The sequence below is a fragment of the Homo sapiens genome, chromosome 7 (genome assembly GCF_000001405.40).
Source record: "Homo sapiens chromosome 7, GRCh38.p14 Primary Assembly".
Taxonomy (NCBI): Eukaryota; Metazoa; Chordata; class Mammalia; order Primates; family Hominidae; genus Homo; species Homo sapiens.
The window spans coordinates 139,963,058-139,983,268 of NC_000007.14; the positions used below are offsets into that span (position 1 = coordinate 139,963,058).

Below are 20,211 nucleotides of genomic sequence, written 5' to 3' on the forward strand. Positions count from 1 at the left end.
GGGAAATTCTACTTCTTTATTCTACTGGGGAAGTAAAGGCAAAGTCAATGTCTCTTCTTCACAGCAGTTTTTAAATATTTGAAAACTGCATTCACTGTGTTACTAATTAATTGTCTTAACTTTAGGCTCAACATGAGTTTATGGTCAACTTCAAGTTCTAAGTAGTTATGACAACTGCCAAGCTGGGCCTTTCCAAACCCTGCTTACACAATTGATTTATTGAGCCTAGACGGAAGAGTTTATATTTATCCTTATTACTGTTCAAGTCAGTCAAAATAATTTTGAATCTTGATTCTGCCATCTGTTATATTAGCAATTCCTCCAGCCTCGTGTCATCTGAGACTTATTAAGCATGTCTCCTATTTCATCCAAGTCATTGATTAAAATGTTGAACAGGACAGGACTTCCCTCCAGATTGACATTGATCCATTAATCAATATTCTTTGGGCATGGAATCTCAACAAGCCATGAATCCAAATAACCCTGCCACCCATCTTATTCTGTTTTATATGTAGTGGTTTGTGTATTTGTTCTTAAATTGAGGAAAGGGTAGAGGGAGGGACCAACGGTGACTGGGGTGCATTAGTGCAAAAGAAGTAAAAGGAGCTGGAAGCGAGGCAATCTATTAGGATACATTTAGTTGCAGATAACAGAACCCCAACCCAACTGATTTAAGCAAAACAAAAACAAAAAGTAAAAACAAACAAAAAGACTCATAAATGTGTATTTCTGAGTACATTTAATTGAGCAGCTCAGGAATAGATGTGGCTCCAGGCAAATCTTTGTCTAGGTCTCAAACTGGTGCACAGGTCCGTTTCTCTCTCGCCAGTTCTTGGCTGTGCTCTCTTATATTGGCCCCATCCTCCATCATGCTCTCCTCTCAAAGCCCCAAGAAGCCTGTCAAGAGTGTCTGGGACTCCATACTTCCTTGCTTGTAACCAATGGAGAAGAGAGGGTCTGTGGCCTAAAATTCCCAGAAAGAGTCATGAGGGTCACTCTGACGGGAATGCTTAGGTCGCTGCCCATTCTTTTTTATTTTTTTTTTGAGATGAAGTTTCACTCTTGTTGCCGAGGCTGGAGTGCAATGGCACAATCCTGGCTCACTGCAACCCACACCTCCCAGGTTCAAGCAATTCTCCTGCCTCAGCCTCCCGAGTTGCTGGCATTACAGACATTCACCACCACAACTGGCTAATTTTGTATTTTTAGTAGATACGGGGTTTCACCACGTTGGTCAGGCTGGTCTCGAACTCCCAACCTCAGGTGATCCGCCTGCCTCGGCCTCCCAAAGTGCTGGGATTACAGGCGTAAGCCACCACGATTGGCCTGCTGCCCATTCTTGAACCAACTCTTGAAGCAAGGGGAATGGGGTCCCTGATAGGCTTACACCAATCAGACTCTAGCCCTCAGTCAATCATGCTCAAGTCACATGACTGAGAACTTGGGAAGGTGACTTCTCAAGGGAAGCTTAGCATGCTGTCCCAGGAAGGCATTAGAGGGAAGCCCAGCGCTCTGGTCTCAGTAAACCAGAAATCACACCAAATTAAGGGCTTTGAAGCATCTAATGAGTGTCCAGCAGTTTAGTAGACACAGCAGAGGCTAGGAGAGGGGGCAGAAGCTCTAAGAGATAGAAGTCAGGTCCTCATCTTGCGGGAATTCCATCGCCAATTGAGAAGCAATGTTATGTCTATGAAACAATATTTTCCTTCCAAACACAGGCCTGCAGGGCAGTAGAAGGCAGAAGATAATCAGGTCTAGAATGTGTGATGTCATTTAGAGAGCCATGGGGCGATAGGAGTCTGTCCCACCAGCTATAACCATAGTCACATCCAGTTATGTCAGTCTGCCAGGAGGACACAGCAAGTGCTCATGTTAGGCCAGGCACAGTGGCTCATGCCAGTGGCTCATCCCAGCACTTTGGGAGGCCGAGGTGGGTGGATCACCTGAGGTCAGGAGTTCAAGACCAGCCTGACCAACACAGTAAAACTCCATCTCTACTAAAACTACAAAATTAGCTGGGTGTGGTGGCACATGCCTGTAATCCCAGCTACTCGGGAGGCTGAGGCAGGAGAATCACTTGAAGCAGGGAGGCGGAGGTTGCAGTGAGCAAAGATTGTGCCATTGCCCTCCAGCCTGGGCAATAAGAAAGAAACTCCGTCTCAAAAAAAAAAAGGACCACATGTTATTATGGGGCTGTACAGACTGTTGCAAAGCACTGAGACCCCTTGGTCAAATAAACACATTACAGCAGGTCAAATTTTTGAGTTTAGTGTGCATAAAAGTATATAGGAAGACTGCTTAGAATGCACTTTCCAGGGTCCTGACCTCAGGGGTTCCGATTCCATAAGTCTGGGCTGGGACCCAGGAACCCGCATTTTATTTTATTTTATTTTTTGAGATGGAGTCTCGCTCTGTCATCCAGGCTGGAGTGCAGTGGCACAATCTTGGCTCACAGCAAACTCCGCCGCCTAAGGAACCCACGTTTTAAATAAATGTTTCCAGTGATTCTGATGCAGGTGGTCCCTGGTTCCACTTTGAGAAGACAGCCTTAGACTCTCAAGGGCTCGGATCCCTCTTCCAAGAAAAAAAATCAGGGTCCAAAGCCCTCCTAAGCCATGCAAGCCACAAGGTGATTTTCTTCCCCTATGTGATAGCTGGTTGTGGGGGGGAGTCTCTGAAAAATGGGAATATCTACAGCTGTCTTTTTAAAAACATACATTTGGTAGTCACAATAATGTTGCTTTGCATAGCCTTGCACATGGCACCCACTCAATGAATATTGGTAGGTTTTCTTTTTTTCTTTTCTTTCTTTCCTTCTTTTATTTTTTTAATTTTTTTTTTTTTTACTATAATCAGAGCTCTGTTAATATGGGCCATCTGTCAGGACATGGAAATGCAGATTAGATGTTCACACATTAGATATTTTCCTGAAAATATTCCTGAAAATTTGCATGTAAAGTATGACTTGTTATAATTTTCCTGCTGGTTTCCATTCAACAAATATTTCTTGAGTGCCAGTTAATGCCAGACTCCGGGGCTCCAGCCCTACGCACGAGGGTGTTCTGGTCTAGCTCTTCTGTGACATCCCTGTAGAGCATCCCCATGCCTCATTAGATGGCCTTCCCTTGTATTTGTCAATGAGATTGCTTAATTTGAGCTCTAGAGTTTCTTTTCCCTGAGCAATTTCTTTCATAGCAATGCACCATGGGAATCTGATGAGAGCTACATCTCTTCCTCCAAGAAAGAGCAGATATGTGCATGGCATCAGTTCAGACTCTTCTGTGGACAGTGATAAAAAAAACTCAGCCCAGATTGTCTCAGGGAGTTTACTGACCCCTATAACTGAAAACTCCAGAGGGCAGAGCTGCCTTCAGGTATGGCTTGATTCAGGGGCTCAAGCCCTGTCCAAGTTGTTCTCTCTCCCCATTTCTCAGCTCCGGTTTCTCTGGGCACACTCCCTTCTCAGGCACATCTTCCCTAGGGGTCTCAAGCCAGCTGTGTAACCAGTGTTTTGAACAGTCTCAACTCAGTGAGGTACCAACTTGAAACCATTTGGTGTTTTTTGTTTCATTTTTTTCCCTTAAATGTGCTCTGATGAATCTCCTTTCCCTGTCCGTGATGATACTTTGGACAGATCTCAATGATTTCTGGTCATTTTGGGGGGCATTAAAAAGTCCAGGCCAGTCTGGCCCAGATGAAAACTTCAGGCTCAAATCCAATCAGTGCCCTTCTGTTCTCTTAGCTCAGGCTGACCTGTGGCCTGAGGATGCCGCCCTGCGGGAGGAGAGGTCTGTTTTTTCCCCTCCTTCTACCCCTCCCCCACCCCTGCTGGGCCCCTTTCTCCTCCAGGAGTGGGGCCTGTGAACGGATCCCCAAATCCTGCCTACCTGGAGCTGCCCTCAGTGCCTTCCCTGCGGGGCTTCTGACGTGGGGTAGATGCAAGACGTATTCGGAGGGCTCCCAGGTCTGAAGTCCTCACTGCATAATTCCCTGCCAGGGAGACAGGCTCCAGCTCCTGCCACCAGCTCCTGCCCCAAGGCTGCTTGATGGGGAATCTTGAGCAGGATACCAGCTAGATGGCTCCAGCTTCCATGCCTTCCCCAGTGTCCGCCCAGCCTATGGGAAACACACAACTGGGCCACACCCACAGTGGCCACCTTCTGCCCTCTCCTTCCTCCCTCCACCCTGTCATGTCTCTCCAAGTACTTTTCCTTTGCTCAAATAGGCAGAGAGGGCACATCAGCAATTCTGCTGCATGAGCAGATGGCCAAGGAGAATGGCCCACCTCTATGAGTGGCTCTGCTGAAGACCCTCTTCCTTGGCTTGGGAGTAGGGAGGACCCTCTTCCCTAGGCCAATGACTCCTTGCTCTAAGTTTTCTTTAAATCCCTCTAATGTCTTTATAGGCTGAGGATGGGGGTAGGAGAGAGTAGGTTCAAGTTCAACGGGAAGAAGCAAGAGTCTCTTTCCTGCAAGTCTCAGCAAAAGCCTCCTGGCATCCCAGTGACTTCGAGAGGGTCATGCACCTGCCCCCTCAACCAATCTTTGGACCCCAGAGGAATATGATCCCCTGATTGGCTTAGACTTGGGTCATGTGCCCCATCCTTGGAGTTGGTGTCTAGGTGAGGCCTTACCCAAACCACTGAGCTCTCGAGCGGAGGAGAGGTTGATCCCCAAATCACTCTTATTAAAAGTGGGGTAAATGGCTTCTGGGTAGCCAGGAAACAGTGTGTTTGCCCACCCCTGTACATAGAATCTGTGGCCCCCAGATTAGAAGTTCCCACCTCTCAATTTCCTGTTATGTGATCATGTTCACCTTCCCTCTGAACTTTTAAAATCCAGCTTGCCAAATTAGAAGGTATAAGTCCGGCAGTGCCTGGAACAGCCTGCTCTTGCCTGTTTCTTGCAAATCATCCCAAGTTCCCTGTGATTTCTGCAGGACCAGTCGGTCCAGCTCAGCAGTTTTGCCTTATTGCATCCTTCACCATTTGAGAAGTGAAAATGTCAGGCATGAAAGTCAATAATTCAGATTCTCTACTGTTAGCAGTTCTAAACCCCTGGCGCATATAAAGATACTCAAAGGTCTCCCTCACTATCGGGGATCTGCCTCCGCACATCCTGTCTGGCAACATCCCATCTCTCATCCCATACAGCCTTGACTGCATTCTCCTTTCAGGGTATAGATTTTGGTTCCAGCTTCTAAAACAGTTACAATCCACTTTTTTGTTTGTTTTTGTTTTGTTTTGTTTTGTTTTTGAGACAGAGTCTTGCTCTGTCGCCCAGGCTGGTGTGCAGTGGTGCAATCTTGGCTCATTGCAACCTCCACTTCCCAGGTTCAAGTGATTCTCCTGCCTCAGCCTCCCAAGTAGCTGGAATTACAGGTGTGTGCCACCATGCCTGGCTAATTTTTGTATTTTTAGTAGACATGGGATTTTTCCATGTTGGTCAGTCTGGTCTTGAACTCCTGGCCTCAAGTGATCCGCCTGCCTCAGCCTCCCAAAGTGCTGGAATTACAGGCGTGAGCCACCGCGCCCGGCTTCAATCCACTTTTTAATTCATGCCCCCAGACTGATTCTTTCTGGGCCACATGTGTTTTCTTCCAAATCGTCTTGTTTGGGAATTTTATCTGGCCTCTCCTCCTCTTGTCCCACCATCAAAATTCAGTGTAAAATCTTCTTTCTCAAGTCCCCCAATCTCTTGGAGAAGTCTCTCTTTTCCCATGTTGCCTTGGTCTATGGAAAAGGAGGTAGTACGTTCAGTAAATTCAATAGTGGATGGGTGGGAAAAGGTTTGTACCATTTGTACCACTCGTAAAGCTGAAAAAACCACACCATCTATTTAATGAGACCTTTGTTATATGGCTGCTTCATTGTGTTCTCATGTAATTTTGAAAAGGATGAGAAAGGAAAAAAACCAACTTCTTTTCATATAAATTGTGTCTTCTATAGCTTTAGTGTTCTATGTTGAAATTATTGACTTTTGATCTGGCTAAACCATTCTCTTTTCTTCTCTTTGGTGCTGGACTCTGCCAGCCAAAATTTATGACCCATTTTCCTTCTGCTTAATTGTTGTTATAAATCTGCTGTGCAGAACCCAGTTGTAAATTTATCACAGACTGGATTGGATTGATATACAGCCTCTCTTTAGGATAATTTGAACACAGTTATGCCTTAGAAGGAAGGCCAAATTCTTAAAACTTCTCTTGAAGAGCTGCTTTGTAACCATTATAAATATCTAATTAAAATACAACTTACTCTTTCTTTTTCTCTTAAGGATAAAAGAACATTCTGTGCTGGTTATTTCAGCTTATTAGCTCATGCTGCTGTGTGAGCAAGGTTGAGGATTTGTTCCTTGAAGCAGTCAGAGGATCTCCAAGAAAAAAAAGCATATTATGTGCTTACAAAAAAAAAAAAAAAAAAAAAAAAAGCCGTTTTACCCCCAACTAGCTTTTTCATGAATACACATCCTTTGTCACAGGGAAAGGGTTGAGCAGGAAAAAAAGTGAATAGCTTAACACAAATCTATCCTCACTATGGAAAAAAAAAATGTCTTCCCATGTGGATCTCACCCAGGGAGGAGGGCATGGTTGGCTTTGAGATCAAGTAGAAAACTGGAAATGGGTTTTTCCCCATGGGGAAGGTTTCCTCCCCTTTGCCCAGGTCTGCTGGGGTCGGGCTACCCACAGTTGGTGAGGAGTAAGTTCAGGAGTTCCCCATCAATTCAGTCCCCCAGCCACACAGGGGTCAGAGGTGCTGCTGAGTCTCTGCCTTCTGACAGACCCCACAACAGCACAACAGGACAACAGAGCACAAAGCCACAGGGACAAGGGAAGAGGCAAAACAGAGAACGCCTTACAGCCCTAATGTTGAATCTAAAACAAAGAACAGCGTCACTGCAGCGTGAGAAAAGTGGCAACGGGCTGTGGCACCGGCCCTTGGTTAGGGCATCACAAAGTTTAACGTGCACGGGAATCACCTGGGAGTCACTAAATCTGCAGATTTTGATTCAGCAGGTCTGGGACGAGCCTGAGGGTCTGCATTTCTTTTTTGTGATTATTATTTTGTATTTATGAGACGGAGTCTCACTGTCCCCGAGGCTGGAGTGCAGTGGCACGATCTTGGCTCACTGCAGCCTCCATCTCCCAGGATTAAGTGATTCTCCTGCCTCAGCCTCTCGAGTAGCTGGGATTACAGGCTCACGCCACCATGCCCAGCTAATTTTTGTATTTTTAGTAGAGACAGGGTTTCACCATGTTGGACAGGCTAGTCTCGAACTCCTGACCTCAGGTGATCTGCCCGCCTCGGCCTCCCAAAGTGCTGGGATTACAGGCGTGAGCCACCGTGCCCGGCCAAGGGTCTGCATTTCTAACCAGCTCCCAGGTGATGCTGATACAGCCAGTCCATGGCCCACACTATGTACAAGGAGCCAGGTTCTGAACCATACGTACTGTGTCTCTCTCACGTGTGCTGGACATGGCAAGTATGTATTCCTCATGACATTTAATGTGCTCATGTTCTTCAGTGGTTTACCTTTTGCTAATAAATCTCAGTGGTTTCCTGATTATTCCATAATCATGATGGCATTCACTTTATTGAGTGGGAGATGAAGTGATGCAGGAATGAGCCAATCCTAATACATGTTAGAAGTGTATTAATCCTAAATAAAGCCTAAAATCATCTATTTTCTTCAGTAATTGTTTCCATGGTGGGAGGTTAGGGGGAGCTTTTGAGGTGATTTAAAGTCATTTTCAAAGCAGATGAAGACGGCAACCTGAGCTTTCTGTCAGGACATGTGTGTAGACTGGAGACCTATCACATCCAACGGGACCCTCAGGCCAATCCTTTTAAGCAGGGGGCTCCACCCAGCCCCTTAGCTTCCCTACTCCCCTAAGCCCCTTGGTTGTAGACAGTAGCTTCGGGTGCCAGGTGGGAGGCCATGCCAAACAACTATAGCCAAAGAGCATGTCTCTGATGCCATTTCTTTGGTGGCCTAGGACAGAATCTGAGCTATTTCCACTAGAGGAATAGGAGCTTCAGCAGGGGGCCTTGGAAATGTATCCAAGGTACCCACCTCCTGTCCTTCTTTCTGGAAGCATCTGGCCCTGGGAAGTAGCATCCCGACCACTAATATCAGGGCACTAATATCAGGCAAAGGGAGGAAAAGTTGCATCCTGACCACTAATATCAGAAAGGCCCCTCCTCCCAGCCCGTGAAGAGGGGCCTCTCTGGGTGTGTACCTGGAACCCTATCTTGGAAGTTAAGTTTTGTGGTCACTGCTACCAACACACCAACTCCCAGGACACAGGATACTAGGGACTTCTGTGCCCCATCAGTGGACAAGTCACAAGTTCCCAAAGCAGGGTGACCAATCGATCTGGATCAGGTGGCAGGGCCTCGGATCTTAACTGTCCATTTCATTGTTATGCACACAAACTTATCTTAGAGATCCGGCCATCTGCCTGTTCCCGTCCTGGGGATACCTGCGGGAAGGCAGGCTGTGCCTCCCAGAGGTCATCTGGGCTGCAAATGGGTGCCAAGACCTTCCTCTGCCCCTACTCAGGACTCCAGACTCCTCCACATCCCCTGGAGATACTCAAAGCCCATGCCCACAGTAACCCGTAGGGAAACTGACCCGCTCTGCCTGGGAGCTGCTCCCAGGAGCCTCAGCAGTGGCAACCAGGAGCTTAGAGACCGCTGTGCCTCTCCCTGCCCACCCTCTCCCTCTCATCCTGCCCCATTTCTCTGTTGTCTTTCCTCTTTCCTCTCTTCATTGTTCACAGCACTATTTAATCTCCTTCCCCTCTTTCTTCCCTTATTCTTGTTCTGACTCTATTCCCAGGTCCAGAGAGGCCCAGAATCTTCTCTGCTCCTGCTCCACCTCCTGACCCACTGCCCCCTGGGAGCCCCTGGTCATCCCAGAAGCCTGTAAGTGCACACAGCAGCCAAGACCCACATGCCTGCAATGGGGGTGGCACAGGGGAGGCAGGGTGAAGAGCAGGACAGACTTGCAGGTGTTTTTTTCTGGGCTGCCTGGCTTCATCAACTGCAACACTCCAGCACTTTGAATTTTTAGCAATTAATGCCCCAAGTCCCCCTCCCCCTGAGTCCCTGCAGAGCAGAGGGAGGGGCACCTGCAAAGAGAAGTCTCTCCCAGGAATGGGTCACACCAATCAGCATGTATGTGGTGTCTTTCATGTAGCAAATCAGAGTCTTTCATATTCAATAGCTGGGCCTCTAGAGGGACCAAGCTTTGCTAAGCAAATAAGCTTGTGGGGTTGGTTCACATCCATCCAGAAAAGCAAGAATGAAAAATAAACTTGGGAAAGTCAGCTCCACAGGTGAAGCTCAACCTTCTGTGCATCTGCTTGGCATGGAGCTACATTTGCAACTGAATGGCTCATTTATTTAACTATTGCACACATTATGGGCTCTTAAAACATCAAAAGAATGGGTTTTATTCCCAACAATTAGCTCTTGAAATAAAAGAATAAACATACTTTTTTTTTAACTTCCCCAGACTCTGTTGACCAAAGTCGCTTTCACACCAGTGGAGTGGAAGCTCCAAAATGGTATCATCTGGTGGGAATTTAAAGACTTCTTGTCCCCAAAAAACCTTTTCGTCACTAGGCTTAAAATTTTCCATTGGGAGGCCCTGGCTTTGTTTTGACACATGATCCGTTATTAACACACCACTCATTTTGGGAGGGGAATATCATCAAGTCCCAGCCAGGATGTAAACCCCACGACTAGGAAGCCTCGTCCGCTGGGTACCTTGGTAGGTCCCAGGGCCGAGCACAGTGCCTGGCACGTGAGAAATAGGTGTTGAGAAAAGTTATTTCACTCTTCCTTTTCTAACTGGAAACCAACTCCAAGCACAGATTTGAGGGGGGACGAGCAGGGAGGCACAGTAGATAAAGCCTGTGAGTTACTGCGCCCAGCGAGAAAGGGGTCGGTGGAGTCAAAGAGAGAAGGCACTGCGTGGGGAGATGGAGGCAGGTTGAAGGCAACACTTGGAGTCCCTATAGTCCTACAATTGCAGTGCAATTGCCCAGAAGATATCATGCTAAGAAAAGGAGGGAGCCTCAGCCCTCGGCCTCCGAGGAGACCTCTGGGGACATCTAGGGCAGCTTCCCATCCAGGACAGATATCTGAAAGATCATGAGGCTGGGCTTGAATCCTGCTGACAACAAGAAACTTACTACCTATGTCCCCTACCGCTGCTATGGTCCGCCTCCTCTGTCAGCTCATGGTATTTGAGCACCTACTAAATCAGCAAATTAATAGCTTCTGCCTGGGGGCTGCTTCCACACTCCACTAATAGCCAATCGCTGGGCATCTCAGAGCCGAGAGAGGAAGGAAAATTGGAAAATGAGTCTAGAATAAGGGGCCTTTCCAAAATGTGTGCTTATGGCCCAGACACTCCTTTAACCCTAGGTTTTCCAGAAAGTCTGTTTTGCCCCAGGACTGTGGACAGCATTATGGTTTGTTTGGTGAGCTTTCTTTTTTTTTTTTTTTTAGGTTGTATTTTATAACTGAATATGGCATGTGTGAAAATATCAGCTACCAGACTCTGTTAGTCCAGGCGTATGAATATTCCAGATCACAAGGGAGGTGTGACTCCCCTGTGAATTGCAATGCGGAAGGTTTATAAAGTTAATCATTTAGAAATCTGTCTTTAAAATTTAAATATTTAGATTGGGTCGCTAGGACACAAAAGGCAATTCCTGTTTCTCACTCACTTAATTTGATTTTTTTTTCTTTTGGTCGCACAAGTTGTTTTTCAAAGCCTCATTCCTCGAATGTTCCCTATAGGAGGAATGTAATTAAACTCCACTGGCCTCCCCCTGCTGGGACCAAACAGGGGCCAGAGCTGTAGGGAGCATAAAACAGATATCCTGCAAAAGAATCCTTATTATAAAGATGAGAAGAGAATCAACTTCCCTCTGGTTATGAACAAGAAGCTTTAGAAAGCCACCCAGGCTATTTTTGCAATGGGCTTAGTCTCCAAGACATTTTAATTAGTAATTTAAGACTGGAAGGAAGGGGATAAACTCCTCACCTCCCTGGCTATAGGCAAGAACTTCAACTGGATGAGTAACTGGTTCAAGTGGCTGAAAAGGAGGGAGGTCCAGAGGGAGGGTGGTTCCTTAAAATGAACCAACTTTTTCATGAAAATGGCATAGCTAGATATCCCGGCCCCCAGTCAGTCACTGTTTTTGCAGTCCCACTTCTTAAGGCAGTTCTCACCCCTCACCAGAGGCAGGCACTGCCTCTCTCTGGGACACTCGGCTGGCACCAGAGCAAAGAAGCTTGTGCTGAGGGATGGTTCCCCTCACACCGGGCCAACCTGGACTTCTCTCTGACCAAAGAGCATATGCCTCCCACCAAGCGAGAAGGTGGAAAGATCCTGGCAGGGAACCCCGAGACCTGGGTGCTAGCATCATCCCCGCCATGAGAGCACACGGGGCCCCTGAGCTGACACCTGCTGGCAATGTGACGTGGATCACTCACATAATCCCTTCCTTAGTTTTTCTGTCTGTAAAATGGGGATAGTAACATTGTGTAGCTCATAAGGTTGTCACCAAGATTAAACGAGTTAAGAATACACGTGCAATGTTTGAACAGCGCCAGCATTACGTACATATAGCTACTCTCATTCGCCTTTCTGTGACTCAGTTTCCTTATCTGTAAAAGAAAAAGGTTGGACTAGACCTCTTCTCCACTGTTATTGATGATGATGATGATAAATGAATGTTTCTGTGCCAGATCCTAAACTAAACAAAAGTTAACTTGATACTCACAATGGCTGTATGAAGTGGGAGTTATCACCATCCCCATTTCATCAGTGGGGAAAGAAAGGCTGGATTAGTCAGGGATCTCCAGAGGAACCGAACTAATAGGACAGAGACAGAAAGACATTCATTTTCAGGAATTGGCTCATGTAATTTATGGAGTTTGGCAAGTGTGAAGTCTGCAGGGCAGGCTGGCAGTTTGGACAACCAGGCAGGAGTCAATGCAACAGTCTAGACACAGAATTCTTTCTTCGCCAGAAAACCTCAGTTTTTGCTCTTACGGCCTTCAACCGATTGGATGAGGCACGCCCATATTATTGAGGATAATCTCCTCAAAGTCAGCTGATTTTAAGTGTTAACCATATCTACCGAAGACCTTCCCAGCAACCCTGGGATTCATGTTTGATTAAATAACTGCACACAATAGCCTAGCAAAGTTGACACAAAAGACTAACCAAGCTAAATAACTTGAGAACATAAGATAATACCCTAGGACAGGGCCTAGGTCGGATTGGCACTCACGTTTCCCGACTCCTTAGTCTGTATTCTTTTCAACCTTGTCTCTAATATTCCATGATTCCATGGTTCTGATGCCATTCCTCAGCGCTCTGCTGTTCTTGCCTGACCAAGTGGATCAATGGTGGCTCTGGCATTTCTATAAAGGGGATTTCAGGGCTGCCTGCTGGGGAGGGAGGCTTGAAGCTGTGTCTGCACTGCATCTTCACAGCACTGAGAAAATGCCAGTCATTCAGGAGGACAGGGCAGCCCTGTCCTCGCCACAGTGCCCGCATCTTCATTGGTTCACCTTTGCAGGTATCATCTGTGACCTGTCATCCAGGCTCTGAGCCCTGAGGATAATAAGTTTCCCTCGAAGGTCCTGGGTTTGTTGGAGCTTTTTCTCCCTCTTGCCATGTCCTTTTCACGGTCCATCCTCTGAGTTTGTGAATTATCTTTCTTCGTGGCCCATGTGGCACAAGATGAAGAGTGCATGGGCAGCTTCTCCCCTGACATCCCTACCTCCCTGACGCTTAACCCACATAGGGAAGAACATTCCTGAAACAGAGACGTCACCCAGGGTTGCTTTCTGCCACAGCAGGCACTCTGCTTCGTGCCTTTCTCACTTCCATTTGTAAATGATCTTGTCTCCTTCCTTGTAGAAAGCTTTTCAGCCATTCCAGGCTTTCTCTTTGGGTTCCATCCCTCTGGGATTTTCCACGAATTGCATTTCCTTGTAGTTCATTTTCATCATTTTCCTTGTTAGGGAAATGCACCTGAGACATTGGCATGCAGCCTGATTGCCCCCGGCCTCCCCTCTGCTCATTGCCAGAGCTACCTCTGCACAGAGGAGTCACTCTCCTCCCACTCCAGGGCCTCTGTCAGGGGCCAGGCTTGATGCTGTCACCAGCCAGCTCTTCACTGCTGCCCAGTGCCATATTCATATCCATTGAGACAAGTCCCTGGGAAATGGTTGGGAGCCGGGGGACAGCCCTGCATCCTGAGATCCTAAGATCAGGGAGGTTCTCCCTGCACTCCCAGCTGGAAGGAGACTGGATCGGCCACCCTCACCAAATTCCCAGATTCTCTGACTGAAGCAAGCCAGTCCTTGGTTTGAATGGGGAATCAACTCAGGGTTATAAAATAGACGCCAGCCTTCTTGTAGGTAGAATCTGACTTCAGACAGCAAAAGACTCTAAAACAGCTTAAATTCCTGTATATGCCTTCTCCTGTGCATGCCACCGGTCAGACCAAAGGCCACACGCCAATCAAGGCCCAAGATCAGCCAGGGGTGTTTCCATGTCCTCAAGAACTTTTACAAACTGTAGCTGATTGGGTTCCGCCCCTGGAGATTCGATTTAGTGGGTCTGGAGTGAGGCCTGGGCTTCTTAGAAGCCCCAGCGGATTCTAAAATGCAGCCAGGAGGAAGAACGTTGCCAGAATCCCATGAGGCACAGATGCAAATGTGCATAGTGACATTGGGTTGCATTATCAATGGCAGGACTGACTTTATAAACCTCCACATCCTTACTGGAGCTGCTGTTTGCTTTTTAGAAAAGTCCCTCATCAGATTATCAGGAAGTCGTGGGTTTTCCGTGATCATGCTGTGGTCAGATCCAGCCCAACCAGAGAGCCAAAAACAAAACAAACATACAAAACAAACAAACAAACAAACAAAACCCAAATCCCTGGCAAGCCCCACGAAATGACTGCTCTGATAACATTCAGCAGACAAGCCTGTTTGAAATCATCTCAGAATCATACCAGACCCAAACCCAAGAGGTCATCTGGTCTATGCATCGACTCTAGGAGGGTGTATTAGTCCGTTTTCACGCTGCTGATAAAGACACACCCGAGACTGGGCAATTTACAAAAGAAAGAGGTTTCATGGACTTACAGTTCCACATGGCTGGGGAGGCCTGACAATCATGGTGGAAGGCAAAGAGGAGCAAGTCACATCTTACGTGGATGGCGGCAGGCAAAGAGACAGCTTTTGCAGGGAAACTTCCTTTTTTAAAACCATCAGATCTCGTGAGACTTACTCACTATCACGAGAACAGCACGGGAAAGACTCGCCCCCATGATTCAATTACCGCCCACCAGTTTCCTCCCACAACACAAGGGAATTGTGGGAGTTAAAATTCAAGACGAGGTTTGGGTGAGGACACAGCCAAACCATATCAGAGGGTGAGGGGCTATTTCTCCATGTTACAGACAAGGCACGTGAAGCCTAGGGACGTTCCATCACAGGCCCACACCTTGTCTCAGAATTAAGAGGAAATGCTTCTGGCTGCCAGGGGTGGGGTGGGGTAGGATGCAGAGCCTCTCCCTCCACCACCACCTCCATCCTTTTCCCTTTCTCTGAAAATCTCATTTGATGATTCCCCAGCCTGGCTGCAAATTAAAGATTTGTAGACCTGAAAGATGCTACCGATGGTTATCAGCACCACCACCACCATCGTAACAGTAAACATTTATGGAGCGCCATAATTATTCATAATAATTTTTATGTGTTAAACAAATCTGACCTAGCTCTATAAAGAAATAGGCCCTGTTAACCAAAAATATTGGATAAATTAAAAGTCTCCTAGAAGCATCTGATGAAAGGATCTCAAGTTCCATAACACACGGACCATTCAGTGGTGTTGTTTCTGGGCTTGATTCACTGTGGGTCACTTGAACGATGTCGGGGGTATTGTCCACCTCCCAGTGCTCAGTCTGTGGCTTGTGGCCAGCTGTTCCTCTGTGGGGTCTATGTTGGCTGTGTTAAGGCCTGCTGCAGAAACATCTCATTTCTAGCATGTTTTTCTCAAGCAGTGATCCTGTGGGGTCAAGTCTTCAATATCAAATAATATTGATAATAATTATGATAGAAATAATAAGAGGCCAGGCACCGTGGCTCACATTTGTAATCCCAGCACTTTGGGAGGCAGAGTTCAGGTGGATCATTTGGGCCCAGGAGTTCGAGATCAGCCTGGTCAACATGGTGAAACCCAGTCTCTACTAAAAATACAACAATTAGCCGGGCATGGTGGTGCACACCTGTAATTCCAGCTACTCGGGAGGCTGAGGCAGGAGAATTGCTTGAAACCAGAAGGCAGAGGTTGCAGTTCGCTGAGATTGCACCACTGCACTCCAGCCTGGGTGACAGAGTGAGACTCTGTCTCAAAAAAAAAAAGAAAGAAAAAAGAAATAAAGAAGAATAATAAGAATTATCAGTCATTGAACACGCGCTCTGTTCTTGGTGCTCTTGGTGTTATTCCAGGCAATTCTAACACCAATTAGATATTTTCCCCTATTTTAAAGATTAAAGCAACTGGCGCAGTGGTTCACACCTGCAATCCCAGCACTTTGGGAGGCCAAGGTGGGAGGATCACTTGAGGCAGGGAGTTCAATACCAGCTTGGGCAATATAGTGAAACCCCTGCCTCTACAAAAAAAAAAAAAAAAAAAAAAATCAAAAATTAGCTGAGGCTGGTGGTGCGTGCTCGTACTCCCAGCTACTCAGGAGGCTGAGGTGGGAGGATTGCCTGAGGCCAGGAGTTGGAGGCTGCAGAGAGCTATGATGGTGCCACTGCACTCTAGCATGGGCGACAAAACAATAGTCTTGTCTCAAAAAAACTAAAAAAGACTAAAGTGAAATTGAAATTCAGAGAGTAAGTGACTTCAAGGTAGAGGCAGAAACAGAGGCTGGATTTGAATTCGATCCTCTGGCTCCAGAGCTCCTGGGAGTTATCTTGGGAATGACTGCAAGGTCTGAGGTAGATCGTTCCAGGAGCAGGTGCTTATATACAGTGGAATGGCACCCACTGGCACACCACTAGGAATTCTGTTTTCTTACCACCACCGGAGCCAGGTCTCTGTCACGGTGATGAGAAGTTCCCAAAGTCATTTCTCCTCTCTAGGGTGTCCCCTCTCTGTCTGCTGCCACTAAATCCCTAACGACATTAGAGCGAATAAATGGCATTTTTAACTTCAGCTTTAAGCAACAAAGAAATACTATTAAGTCAAGATGTGTCCATCTTTACCATAAAAAAAAACAAAAAACTTGCTTCAATAACCAATAAACAGATCAAACAACAGAAAAATAAATAGCAAAAGACTTCAGGGCTCGATGGCTCACACCTGTAATCCCAGCACTTTGGGAGGCGGAGGTGGGTGGATCACCTGAGGTCAGGAGTTTGAGACCAGCCTGACCAATACGGTGAAACCCGCCTCTACTAAAAATACAAAAATTAGCCAGGCTTGGTGGCGTGAGCCTGTAGTCCCAGCTACTCAGGAGGCTGAGATAGGAGAATTGCTTGAACCCAGGAAGCAGAGGTTGCAGTGAGCCAAGATTATGCCACTGCACTCCCCATTCTGGGCAACAGAGCAAGATTCCATCTCAATAATAATAATAATAATAATAATAATAATAATAATAATAAATAAATAGCAAAAGAAAGAAAAAACCCTCAGCTAAGAAGTATACTGTTGTGTTTTTTGGGGTTTTTTTTATGTAACATTTGACAAGTTTACATTTTCCTTGTCTGCCTTGGGTGCCTTAAAATAAAACTCTGTCAATATTTCCATGTAACATTGGGTTTTGCTTTTTTTTTTCCTCACGTAAAATCCACATATCAGGAATTCCTCTATTTATTCCGTCGCCTGGGTTTCTTTCCTTGGGAATAATTTATATGTCAAACCTGTCATTTATCGATTTATTGCTGTACCTAGCAGCATTTTTCTCCCTGCCCTCAAAATTTAGCTTAAAGACCACTTAATAAGGCCTGTGCGGGTCCTCAGACTCCAGAGATTTCTGCTGATATGAGCCATAATTTAGCAAAACAAATCCTGCTCATTGCGGGCATCTAAATGGTATCCTGTTAAATTTCCATACATGCTTTTCTTTTCTAAAGTTATGGCCTACAACTAGAAGAAGGGATGAAACATCACCCCTACCTCCACATCTTATTTCCTGTATCAAATTTCGAAGCCCTTGGAGATGCAAGGCGGGTTTCCCTAATGAGTTGAGAATCAATGCGAATCATCTGAAATGAGAGGTGGCCCGTGGGTGTAATCCATCCCTGCTGGTGCTCCAACTTGGTTACACATTTCCAGAAACCAGCACCTCCCTGTTGTCCATGTCTGGTCATCAGAGGCCTCTCTCCTCAGGTGGGATAACCAGAGACCAAGAAAGAAACATGTTTCTCTCCCTTGGAATTTCTCTTCCTTAGTCATTTTCAGAAAGTTAGGAGTCGGCAACCTTAAGGAGGAGTTTCCTATCATCTCTCCTCCACTTCCTCCCCTCGTTTCCTCCCCGTCTTCTCCTTGGAGTCCTTCATCAATGTCTCTATTTTCTGTTCAGGATAAACAAAGAGTCCCTCTTACCTGCACAGGCCTCACCTGCCTTCCCCCCCTGTCATTTCTGCAGCCAGCCTGTCTCCTGAGCCTGGCCTGGCATTCTCCAAAGACTCCTTAAGGCCACTTGGCTTCCGGTCTGCCTCTAGGCTTCACTGTCTGCACCAGAGTGGAAATTGTCATGTGCCCTCAGCAACATTTTACCCCTCCCTTCCAGAACAGACACAGGCATTTCTTCCACAAGCAGTATTCCACAGATGAAAAAAAAAAATTATAAAAGCGAAACCAAAAATACTGGTAGTATATTTTTTTCCCTTCAAAAGAATGATAATCATCAGTAAAAACCACAACAACAAAAAACTAAGCAAAGCAGCCTGAAGATAGGCTGAAAGCACACATCTACGGATGGCTTGTTGTTGTTTTGTTTTTGTTATTGTTATTTTTGAGACACAGTCTTGCTCTGTCACCCAGGCTGGAGTGCAGTGGCGCGATCTCGGCTCACTGCAACCCCCACCTCCCGGGTTCAAGTGATTCTCCTGCCTCAGCCTCCTGAGTAGCTGGGATTACAGGCTTGTACCACCCATGCCCCATGCCCGGCTAATTTTTGTATTTTTAGTACAGACTGGGTTTCACCATGTTGGCCAGGCTGGTCTTGAACTCCTGACCTCAGGTGATCCGCCTGCGTCGGCCTCCCAGAGTGCTGGGATTACAGGCATGAGCCACCATGCCCGGCCAGGATGTTCTGAATATTAAACTAGCTGACCGGTGGACATTAGCTGTGCTGTGGAAAAGTGAAGCAGAATGGCTTTTTATCCCTTGTGTATGATCATCAAGACACAGGACAGCACAGAGATTCAAAATACAATGCATTCCCCTTGCTCGTCTGGTCAAGCTCACCTTCCTATTGCACAGGGTTGATTGGTTGGAGGCCGCCAACCTCTAGCTGAAAGGCAGAGACAGTCTCCCCTGTTATTTCGGTACCAAGCTGTGTTTCTTAGGCATTAAAATGGAGGGAAAGCAACCACTGGCCCCTCACTGGGATTGTTCTTGAGGATTCCAGACAGACCATAAGTAATTCATTGAGTCGCTCACAAAGGGCCTGGCCCTGAAGGTTTGTGGCTGCAGCATCCAGGCGAGCCAAAGGTGTCAGTGCCACCAAAATGCAGAGAAAACTCTTATCAGAAAGATGTCATTTTTTTCCCCTAAATGTCATATATACAATTTTTATTGGAGTGTGATGACAGATAGTGAATAAATTAACATAAATTTGCATAATACAATACAGCTGTTAATTTATGATCATATTAAAACACAAAGTTTTGTAGTTTGAAGCAGTTAAAAGTCTTAATCTTCTGAAAATTTCCCTCTTGTTTGTTATTTGTTTATGAGTTACTTAGGGTTATTAGATAAAATACAGGCTTCTGGTTAAATTTGAATCTCAGATAAACTGTAAATAATTTTTTAGTGTATCTCATGCAATATTTGGGACATACTTATACTAAAAAGTTAATCTTATTGTATATCTGAAATTCACATTTAACTGAATGGTTATATTAATATTTTTATTTGATAAATCAGGCAACTCTGTATTTCATAAGCAGTTTAACCTCTCTCTACTGGCTCTTCTCTGGCAGGGCAGAGGGGTGCTGTTTTATGGAGAAAGGCACTTACTGCTGGGACCTTGATATCTTTAGACTGTGGGGGAGGCTGGCTCTCCTAGGAACACTAACAGAGTCAAAGAGATCAGACAAGAGAGGTGCCAGTGCAAAGGGGGAAACTGAGGCAGGCAGCATGCCTGGGCTTTCTTGACAGTACCAGGGGTATTATAGCCCTGTTTTCCAGATTTTTTGGACTACAATCTCATCATAAGAAATATAATTTATAATTCAACCCAGAACACACATCCCTTATAAATGGAACAAAAAGTTTTAGGAAACATGTCACCTTCTATGTACAATCTGCTCGACATCCTGTTCTAGTTGATTTCATTTCTTTAAATGCCACTCTTAACCCCCTAAATTGAATTCATGGATTGAATTCATGGTCCCCTAAAGGATCACAGCCCACATGTTGAAAAACACTGGGTTAGAGGGTCACAGTTCAGGAAAATGAACGAGGAGGTTTTTTAAAATCTACTTTACAAACGAGGAAATGTATCGGGTTCCTTAAGAGCCTTTCCAGGAAAATTTTTGCTCATTTGTGGCCAAACTCGAAATAAAACTTAGGTCCCCCAACTCCCAACCCTGCGTTTTCTGGTTTCCTTCCACCACTCTTTCTAGTATCCATTTTCCTGGTCTCCAAGTTGTAATACACATTCTGGGATCCACATTTACTTGTTTTATTTTACATAATTATATTACTTGTATACTATTTCCTTATACTTCATATTCTTCTCAAATTTCCATGTTTTATATCATTTCTGATGCAAACTGATTACATCATTGCTTATGGCACATTCTTGACTGATATCAACATTTTAAACCAAATTGTCTTGGTACGCACCCTCTGATCTTTGGCATCTTACTGCCCTGCCCCATCTTCAACCTCGGCTCACTATTTTGGTGCCTCAGGAGGTCTCAACCATGAA

The 20,211-nt window shown here is 45.9% G+C and overlaps 1 protein-coding gene across 8 annotated transcripts in view; it reads left to right on the top strand.

Annotated features, from left to right (window-relative positions):
• TBXAS1 (thromboxane A synthase 1) overlaps positions 1-20,211 on the top strand; it is a 242,052-nt gene that overhangs the window by 184,816 nt on the left and 37,025 nt on the right. The gene's annotated exons all lie outside the window — the stretch shown is intronic.